This window comes from Homo sapiens, chromosome 1 (assembly GCF_000001405.40).
Source record: "Homo sapiens chromosome 1, GRCh38.p14 Primary Assembly".
Classification (NCBI taxonomy): Eukaryota; Metazoa; Chordata; class Mammalia; order Primates; family Hominidae; genus Homo; species Homo sapiens.
Window position 1 is genome coordinate 74,767,781 of NC_000001.11, and position 11,687 is coordinate 74,779,467.

Genomic DNA, 11,687 nt, shown 5'->3' on the forward strand with positions numbered 1-11,687 from the left:
ATCTTTGGGGAGAATTAAAGTCTATTATTATGTTAGTATATTATATAATAAATAAGAGATGGGAGCAGGATCAGCTATATAATTTTCAAAGGACAGTGCAAAATGAAAATGTGGGACCCTTAAAAAAGGTTTAAGAATTACAAGATGGCAACAGCGGAGCACTAAATCACGTACAGGTACATCTAAGCACGGGGCCCTATGCAAGCTGCACAGGTTGCACATACGTGAGGCTTGGTGCTTTAAGGGAAATGGGTGCCTTCCCACTCAACTGGGTGTTTAACCCTCCTCCCCACATTGAGAAAGAGGCAGAGTGCTGCAGATTCTGTGATGTGCCAGGACTTGACTCCTGCTCACATGTGGCGCCCTTGGGTTCCAGGACAATGGGTAGCTGTTTGGAAGCCTGCAAGGGTGGATGTTTTGGAAGCTAGGGCAAAGATCTCAGTGGCTACCCTTAGATGGAGTAAACCGTAGTCCTTTTCAGAGCCACTTGATTTCAAATGTGAGCAAAGGCAGTGATGAGCACCACGTTTTGAAAACAAGGGCTTTCTCCATTTTGAGATGAGTTATATGATTTGCTGGGTTAAGTGTTGAAGAGCCATGAAAAATGATCACCATCTTTATTCTTATAGATGGCTCCTTGAGCAGGCTTTAATTTGACTGGAGTTGCGGGGAGTAAATATTACACTCCCATATAAGGTGTATAATAGTGACTATTTTTTAGTTATGATTTTTGGCTTTTAAAAATGGGCTTTGACCTTCAAGCCTCTTCTTTCCATACTCTACTGGGCTTCTGTCAACATTCACGCTTCTCTAATGCAATAGGATTTTAATATTCACAAATGCTAATGTTTTTAAACTTAACAGTCCTTTAATGTCCTGGGTTTTTATGCATTCTATTCTTGCCAAGCAAGAATTTATGAGCCCTTTTTGGTTTTGCCTTTAATGTGGTTGAATTTAAACTATAACTTTAACTCATTGCAAATTTTATTTATTTATTCATCTATTTTAATAACATTTTTTGGAACAGTTTTAGGTTTACAGAAAAATTGAGAGAAAAAGTTCAGATAGTTCCCATGTACCCACTTCATCTGCCCACACATGATATCCTTTATCTTATATATCCTACATCTTACATTAGTGTGGGACTTTTTGTTACAATTGATAAGCCAAGATTGATGTTTCTTGACTAAAATCCATATTTCATGCCTCTCTTCATCTCTCTTCAATTCTGTTCTCTCCTGTAACTATTAGTCTATTAGTCCTATATTATACCTACTTATGGGCCTATTCTCCATATTGTCTAATCTTTTCATCCCCCTTCACCAGCTTCTCTTCATCTCTATGTGTGTCATTCTGTGTCATTCACTCGGGTTATTGTTTAGTTAACTCATACCCTCTTCAACTGTGTCTAATCTACTGCCTAGATAGTCCATTGAGTTTTACATTTCAAAGATTATATTTAATTATTTCTAGTTCTTTTTGGTTCATTTTCAAATCAGAGGCAGATTATTTAAAGGTTCTAATAATTATTTCTTTCTATATACCTTTTCCCAGATATTTCAATAAATTATATTTACACAAACCTTTCATACACTTGTATATTATAGAAATGATCTATGTTCTTTAGCTATTCCAAGGATAATTGAAAAGAATGTCCTCACCACCACCAAATCTAAACCATGCAAGAAGAAAGTGAACTATTTCTCAATAACCAGATTGTTTACATGCCATTTTTATTATTTATTCATTTACATGACAAATATTTTTTGAGCACCCACTATATGTCAGTCACATGCAACAGGACAAGGACTCTGCCTTCATAGAGCTTTCCTTCTAGTAACATTATTAAAGATTTTGTTTGTATTGGCACTTGCCTAGGATCTTTAGTGCTCTTTAAATTTTACTCATCAATCAGGGCTCAGCTCAAATGTTAACTCTTTTGAGAAGCTTTCCTAAAAGCTCATTTCATAATTAACTTCTTACATTCCTGTTTTTCCATAGCACTTTCCCAGTACTATATATACATAGCATTTTGTTTATACTTACATAACCACACAAACCAAGAAATCTCTTGGTAGCTATTAATTGCATACATATATATCTATCCATCACCACCATCATATTAAACTTTGACTAACTGAGGGACAAAGCTGTTTTTCCAATATTTTTATATCCCCAGCATCTTGGACGTTGTTGTTTTTTTAACAACTACTTTCTATTCTGGTTTATAAATGCATTGTAGCTGGGAGAGTTCATGAGTATTATGTAATTCATTATTTTATAAGCAAATGACAAAATCCCTAACCAAATTATATTACTATTCAATTCTTGAAGGAATCTTGAAATTGATAAAGTTAAATGACTGAAGTTAAAAAAAAGATGCTTAGAAGCCACTAAACACATGCATAATACTATTCTTTATATCTCACAAAATATCCAAATTTCCAGATGTTAGTATTCCAAGATATACCTTGTGACTAAACATGATAGGTCTTGTCTTTCTTTTTTCACACCAAGCCTTTTGAAAGCCTTTTTATTTTGAAATAACTTCAGATCTACAAATAAGTTATAATAGCACTAAGAATTCCTGAATATACTTTACCCAGAGTGACCATTCTCTCTCTCTCTCTCATATACAGACATACAGTACATATGAATAATCTCATATAAATATACAAACTTTTGAGAGTAAGTTAAATATATTTTACTCTTCACTCTTAAATATTTCAATGTATATTTCTTTAGAACCAGGAAAGTCTCATATAATCTCAGAAAAATTATAAAATCAGGAAATCTAACAGTTATACAACATAATTATATAATCTGCAAAACTTATCCAAATGTCATCATTTGTCCCAATGATATTCTTTGTAGGATAAACTGAATTGCATTTTGTTTCATATTTCTTTAATCTTGTTTAATAGTACATAATTGGTTATAAGCCTCTGCCTTTGATAACATTGACAGGCTTGAAGAATACAGGAAAATTTAATAGCCATCGATTTATATTTTTAATATTCATTTTTAACTAGGTTCAAACTATGCATTTGGAGCAAGAATATTATATAAGTGATGTGTTCTTGTCAAAGCATGACTTCAGTGGGTACAGGATTTCAGTTTGTCCCATTATTGGTTATGTTAACTTTGATCTCTTGGCTAATGTGGTGTCTGCTAGGTTTAATGGTAATTTTCCCTTTTGTAATTAATAAGAAATTTTAAGGATGCTCTACTTTGAGAATATGTAAATAACCTATTTTTATCCAACTTTTACCCACTAATTTCAGCATCTGTTGATTATTCCTCTCCAAATAAGTTATTACTATGATTGCAAAATAATGATTTGTTACCTCCATTATTCCTTCTACATTTATTAATTGGCATTCAACTTTAAAAGACAGCTTTGCTTTCACACACTCTCCCCACATATGAACTCATGGATTCTTGTTTGATTCAAAAGGTTATAATCCATTGCTATCATTATTTATTTTAATGTTCATATTATTCCAGATTTGACCAGTGGGAGTCCATTCAAGTTGACCCCTGTCTACTTTTAACGTATCTCTTTCAGTGTTTGAGCATCTCCTCATTATCTTGCACAAGGAGGCCTTCCAGGCTCATCTTGTACATTCATCTCCCCCAGTCATAGAATCAGCCAAAGAACCCCAATTCGTTTCGGTGGGGACTGGCATTTAGAAACAAAGTTCCTAAGCAATAAGTGTGTTCATGACAGCATTTTCTCTTTTTAAATTACAGAATTATTCATCAGTCTATAATAATCAGTAAATAATCATTATTCAAAGGTTAGATCTTATAGTTTACATCGTCCATGAGATGTGTTGACAGAAATGACATATAAAACTGTCTACTAAGTTCATTTCTCTGTGATATAGCAGCGGGAATGTTCATATTAATATACTGAAATACTGTCTCATTATATTCATTTAATGAATTTTTTTATTCCTCAGCTTTTCATATCAACTCCCACCTATTTTCTGTGACATCATAAGACTTAAATAAACTGTCCTTAACTCTTTGGAGAAAATAACTTTGCAGAGATCAAGAAATATTGGCTAATTTCATTATACTTAACAATTGCCAATAAATTATTCAAACCTGTTTATCTTTGTGGCTAATTTTTAATGATGCTTTGAAATGAGGCAAAAGCAAATGTATAAGTCATGTAGACTAACCAGTCTCTCCTACAGCCACTGTCTCCCACAGCAATAGGCATATTGTCAAATTGAAGTTTAATTCATAGGTTCTATGAAACGGTGGGTAAAGAAGGAAAAAGGAGAAACCAAATGCTCACATTGTCTGATTTTTCACAATTATCCACCAGGTGGCAGAGTACTACACGCAGTGGAAACAGTAGTTTGAGCTTCGTATAAGACAGAGTAGGTTTTCGTTTGTTGTTGTTTTTTTTATAAAAACAATTCTATAATATTTTGATAGTTTTATTTTTGAGAAATAATAACATTAGGAAAACATAATTTCTGCTTATCCTTCTAATAAATTAAATTATCTAATATCAAAGGATAATTCGGTCATACGGTATTTTAATAGCAAAAGCTATCCAGAAGTTTTCACCTTTGTTATTAAAGTATGCCATTAAAATTATGTTATTTCTAAAGAGTAAAATGAAAGAAATATTGGGAACAAGAATTTACTTCGAATCTTTAGGCTGTTTCAGTCTAAAACCTGCATTTAGTTAAAATTGTGAAATCATTAAAAAAAACTTCGTATCTTTAATTACATTATTCACACATCATGTATATATGTAAGGAATTCATAATCAACATCATTTTGTACAAATTCAAGGGATAAATCCTATTTATCCTATTCTAGCCAATTTCCTTAGACGCCTATACACACTAGACAGGGCTTATTTATTTGTGTATAGGTCTCTAAGGAAATTGTTCTCTCAGTGTATCTGTATTAAATCTACCCATGGTCTGAAAAAAGTAAACAATTACAGTTAAATTTATTAGGATTATAGATTTTTGTGTCAAACTGTTTGCATTTATACTTTTAATATTTCCATTCCTCATGCAGTCCCGTTTATTCTTTATGTTAACTGTAATGTTCAATACTTGAACAACAAATAGTTACAATATTTAACTACCTACATTTAGCCACCAAGTCTCTAAATAATCCATTGCTTCCAGTTTAAAACAATCATTCTAAGATTGGTAGTAATTCATGCCTAATGACAACTTATTCTGGATTTTGTACAACTATTGATAAATTATTTTTGATCCCTTAATTTTAAGGGATTTTGTGACACTGATTTCTCTTTGTGATTGTGTAAGTAAAATGGAATATACACTTTCAGTTTAGAGGACACTGCTGAGGATTTCGAAATACAGCACAGCTGAGTACTTAGGACTACAATTGTGGTTGGTGGCAGAAAAGTAGAAATAAATTAAGAGACTCTGGAAGTAAAGTCTGATAAGAAATCTTGTCCTGCATGCAAAGATAAAAATAACCAAATGCTGAGAAACCTTTAGTGATTTGTTGCCTTGCTACTGCTAGTGTGTGTTAGATTTAGTCCCAGTAACATCTGGTTTATCCTTGTAATCTCTAGTTTGCACTTTTTATTTGAAAAACAAAGCAGGATTTTTCTTAAATATCGCATTTGTATTTTCACTTACAAACTTTTGGAGGTATTTGGCATGTGTTCCTCCGTGAACTTAGCGTTTTTGCTTTCTTGCCTGGATCTCCATTTTTGATGCTAAACTTAACTGCTTCCCCAGACTTCTATATTGCACTGTTAGTAAATCAATCTCCTAAATGGGAAAATATTATTTGTGGGGACATTCTTTCACTCAAGGGATGAAGAATGGTTATTTAAAAGGGTTACATTTCATCAGCTATTTCTATAGTCACTTTCTTTTTCTGCCTTTCCATATTTTTTAAATGGAAAAGCTACATATGATCCCTTAACTTGGTTGGTTGGTCAGTGGGCTGACCTGTTGATGTTGAGCGTCTAAATATAGAAATGAGCATATAGCTTGCATCAGTTCCAGTATCATGCCTTCTTTCTATGGAAAATACATGATTCAATTTAATTACATAATCTGTCATTCTCTAAGACAGGGCTTCCAACAGGGCTAAACAATTCTGAAGCGGGTTTGTCTCTTTTTTTAAGAGGGCTAATCAGAAGGGATTTGTGATATTGAAATCACTAAGATATAATTATGAATGATTTTGTGCAATTCAGAAATGAAAAATTCTTCCCCAAAGCCCCAAATCTTTGAGTCTGTTTTGTTTTAAAATAATGGAAATTTGTTTCTTCACTTATATATCATGCTAGCATTGTTAGGTGAATTTCTTAAATGCCAAAAATGAAAATATACTTCCACAAGAAAAGATGAATGAATTTTAAGTGACAATAAGAAATGACATGTAATATAATCCTGGAAGTAGAAATTTCCACAATGATAAAAAACAAGGGAATTTATTTCATGAAAATAATATTAATAATGGTTTTTGACACTGAGATTTTTCATTGTTTCTTTACAATCAGAGAAAAAAGACATTTTTCAGAAAACTTTCCTTAGTCTGTTGACACGAACACCAATTTTTGCGATTAAAGTAGAAACCAGTAATTACATTTTAAAAAAATGACACTCTGGTAATTATATATTTAAAATATGAATCCTAATGTTTAATTAGGTCATATGACTGTAATATCAGCTTGCATTAGCAGGAGATTATCAAATCCCAGCAATTCATTCCATAGAGCAATACAAGTTAGAAAAGACTGCTATAATTGTGAGATTTAAATAGAATAAACCATAATGCAGTACAGTATTCTTTAAATATTTTAATGTTTACTAATGTTATTGAGTAATGAAGTTTATCATCATGGCATATTCTTCTTAGATAATTACTCCGGTAGCAATAAGCACATAAGAAGGTTGGTATTTTTTTTTTTTCCAGGAAAGCTTTCAAATTAATCTCAGAGCAGAGTTCAAAACATGTATTTGAAAGTGGCTTTCTGTATTTCTAATATGCATATGTATGTAGTATTATTTATTTTCTGAATGTAATTACATTGTTCTTGGATGTTAGGTAAGTAATTTTTATTTTTTAACCTGTATCATAAATCTATAAATTATTAGTTCTTACTCTCATTTCTTTCTATTTTTCATTTATAAATAATGCAGTGCAAAGAAAACCTCTTATTTTTAACATAAGTATATGTCTCATTTATGACTGATACTTTCTAAAAAGCTTAAGTATATGCCTGTATTTTGTATTTTAATGTTTCATTTTGCATTAATTATAATCAGTGAAGGTTTTTTGTTAATTTTTGTCTTAATCCCTCCTTGCTTCTATAAACCACACTGATTGGTATTTACTAGCTTTGGTTATATGACACAAATACAAAAAGAATCATAGTAGAGTTTATTTATTAATTATTGAATTGTAATGCAATCCTCTTTCAGCAATATTTTTCTTAGTAAAGAGATCTGTATACAATGTACATGTTGTACTTCTTTGATACCCTGTGGGAATTGTATTCCTTAATATTATATTTCTATCTCAAAGTTTGCTCTTTAAGATATAAAAATTAAGTGGCTACCATAGAATTCATTTGTATAGGTTTAATGAGACAGTACTTTTAAATACTTAAGTTTTAGAGTCTCCTTATGATGTAGCTAATGATTTGCACAGCTAAAACAGCTTGAGTACTTTTCCATTTAACCATAAAAGCTAGGATTTCCCATATATAAGTAACTTTATTACTCAAGAAACTTGTTTTGAAATTCTTCCACACATTATCCTTGATGATGCTATCAGAATTTTTATTAAAAAATCTTTCCTTTTTCCTTCTTGTAGCTACATCTGCTATAACTCATGGCTATAAATATATATTGTATAATGAAAACAAAGTCCTTTCTGGATGACAAGAATCTCAAATTGCTTGAGTGGCTCTGAGGATTAGATATTCTTTTATTTAATGGGCAAAAGGACAGTGATTTCCTTTGTCATACGCTTTGATTGTGTCTTTTTGTATTGACTAAAGCAGCCTATTATATTACAGGCACAGACAAAATGTGTGCTAACATTATTGTATCTATCGATGATATTTGGTGCCTGTGATTCACTGTAAGGAATCTATTTCCTAACACTAGGGGTCATTTCAGCTTGTGGCAACAGTGTATGATATTTAGTTTTAATAAAAGAAGAGAGTAGGAATATGACATTTCCTAGAAAAATATTATCCTGGAGAAACATTTTCCTGGGCTAGGATTCCTAATTTTTCCCCTAGTTAAAGTGTGAACAGATTCTGTTACAGTGTCTACTTTTCAAAAGTAAAACCAAGAAGTGCTTTGGGTTTCTTTTCTTGAGCTCATTTTTGTTAATTCTACTAAAATGTTCAGGTTCCACTCCTGAAGGCATCATGTTTCATCTCACATTTTGCCTCTGGTTGCTACTTACTATTTTGTCATCTTTTGGGGTTTGCTTGGCCCTTTTCTTCAAGCCTTTACATTCTGATTGTCTTGAGTTACAATGGAAGTCTTACTTATTTTTCTCTAATTTTCAAACTGCTGTGAAGTATAGCACACGCATCTGTTAGAGTAGAACTTTGTTCTTTCCATAACAAAATAAACACATTCTATTATAGCTCAGATTTTCTACCCTTAAACGTTTTTAAAATTTCAAGCCGTTTCTTAAAAGTTCTTTGATTTTCCTCTCTGGGACTTAATAATATAAATTACTTATTTCTTTTTAAAAAATCACTTTAAGGGCATGGCGCTAGACATGCAAGATGACATAAGAAACTATTTTTTACAGAATAGCATTATGTATTTTCAAATGAGCTCTAGATTATGTAATATGAATTATGATCCTGTTTATATTGAATGGAGTGGGTAATTGCAAGCTATAAATCATTTCTGCATATCTGAAAAATTTAGCCTTGTTATTCGAGTTGCACACATAAATAAAGAGAGTTTTATTTGTTTCTTTAAATCTATTTTTTTAGATCTGCTTAAAATCGGCTGTGCTTCAGAAAGTGTGGTATATTATGTTTAACCTTTTCAATCTAAAATCAAAATATTTTCTTTGATTCAAAAACTAGATATGTTTTCCATATCTAGCATATCCTAACATATGGAAAATACCAAAGAAAGTTATTTTTTCTACTAAAAATGAATAAGTGATAAAAATGTTTATTAAGCTTACATTGATGCAAATGATAGAGAATTGCCCTTTTTCTAACTTAGAATCAGAATTACAGCCTGATTTTGCAGACATGACAATTGGCCCGTGTATAGCTACAGCTGCAGCAGAGGCCTGCATTCTGCTTACCAAATTCTGTCATTGGTTACCTACCTATAAAAGGGAAATGAATGACCAATACTGTGTTTTGGTTCTGCTAATTGTCTATTCAGTTTTAATTAGCTTGTTTTAATTTTGGAAATAAAAGAGAATGAGGCATATTTTCAATAGGTGACATTTAACATTCTCAGATCTGAGGACAAAACGGTTCTAAATTACAGATAGGTTTTATTATAAAGATAACGGAAAGTGGCAAAACACGAGGAACAATATTACTGCTCACACTTCAGGCTTAAAGTTGCATGTTGATGTCAAGCATATTCTATTACCAAAAATCACTGATGCCTTTACTACATGAGGCTAATATGCCACGTTCCTAAAAATGCATAATTTAAAGCCATTTGAAAGAATGATTTTGAAAAAGTAACATATAATACAAAAGGTATGGTAGTCAGATAAGGTCAACCAAGTTCTATTTTAATCTCTGTCATTGGCTAGCTGTGTGACTTTTAGGAAATTACTACCTTACTGTAGCCTCTGTTTTCTCATTTGTACAATAATAAAGAGGCTGAATCCCCAAAATAGCATCTATGTAAAAGGAGCCTCATTTTAAAATATTAATGAAATGCTTGGCTATATATATCTTTCAAATATATGTACATATGCACATACGCATTCTAAGTTAGAAGCTAAAAAGTAAGGTTGTAGATAATGACTGTATATTACAATATTTTCAGTAACAAAAGCATTATCTGAGCCAAATTCATCAACACTGAAAGAAAAACAAACTCAGTGAAGCATTTAAAGGTATTATTTTTTGTGAAGTCCAATTCTCTGAAAGGTCAAAATCCTTTCCAAACAGTGGTACTCAGAGAGAATCACCCAAACTTATTTGGGTGTATTATAGGTAAATTGTGCAAAAGAATTCACAGCTCCTCTTCCTCCTTTCTTCTTTGGAGACCCTTAATTTTGACCACATTGAAACATGTGACATGGCATACAATATCAACTTTCTCTCTTTCTTCTTTTTTTTTAAAAGCATATTTTCAATATATATTAGTTGCTATTCTATCATAGTGGCAATGGGATTTGATGTCATGAAAATGGTAGCCCACAAGAGAAACACATTACAAAAGCAACTCCTTTCCACCCTTCCCTCCCCCTGAAATAATAACAATTTGCTAAATTGTTGGGAAGTTGTTATAATTCCTTTTCCAAATTATTACTCGCCCTTTAGATTAGAAATGAGGCTCGGGTTAGCAATCAGCTATAAATGGTAGGATTTTTCAAGTAAGAAGCACTTGTCTGATTGTGAAGTGGAGGCCATTACTGCCTTGATTGGGCCTTTTTTTTCTTCAGCTTGCTTGATTTGTGGTTGAGAGCGCATATTCACTCCTGTACTGTGAGCAATCAGAGGCTCCCCCTCTCTTTTTTGCGCAGCGATTTAGGGTCCACTACTTTGGCACAGCAGCCACCTTTTAGCCTCCATCACGCAGAACATATCTCTTTAAAAAAAGGGGGTGGGGGATGGGAGCAGGTAACCAATGTACATTTGGCTCATTAATGTGCCTATTTTATATTTTCAGAGAGAAGTTTTTCACTCTAAATAACAGTCATGTTGGAACTTGAACTTCTACACTCAATAAATAAGTTTGGAAAGCGACTTGAAGCCTGTTAGAGCATATTTCCCATTTCTCTAACCCTTCAAAAAAAAAAAACAGGTGTAGTGGTAAAAAGCTGGGGCTGAGACATCAGAGGGCACATTCAACTTTGACACTAGCATAGTCTTTGTTCTCTAGAAAATATTACAGAAACAAGAGCTTTCTTGTTTGCTTTATTTTGGAGGGCATTTTATAAGTTTTCCACCATATTTAAAGCCTATGGAAAGAAGGCATTTAAAAACTCTCGAAAATAGAAACTTACGTTATCAGGTTCAAAAATTACTTAATACTTCCTCTAAGTTAAAAAGATTTGTTCTTGTCAACAGTAAGGGATATTTTTATTAGGAGTTAAACTCAGCACATTTTACACCTTAAAACTTATTAGAAAATCACCAAAGAAACTGGAGTTTCAACGTTGGAATGAGCTGATCATCTTCAAATAACTATACACATGTAAGAATCTGTGCCCTACACCCCTCTTCTGCTCCTGTTCCCCCAAATTAAAATGTCCTAATAATTTCCATGAAATGAATTTTCTTAAAAACACCCTTGAGTCTGGGTCATAATAAACCTGTGTAATAAAAGGAAGTTCACAAAGATTAATACCATTCTGGTAGGTAGTAATTCCCTCAAAATCTGAGTCAAAACTCATAGTGAATTTTTCCCCAGTTTTCTTGAGTTATAATTTGCCAACCATAAAATTCATTCATTTAATGTATGATTTAATAAACTTTT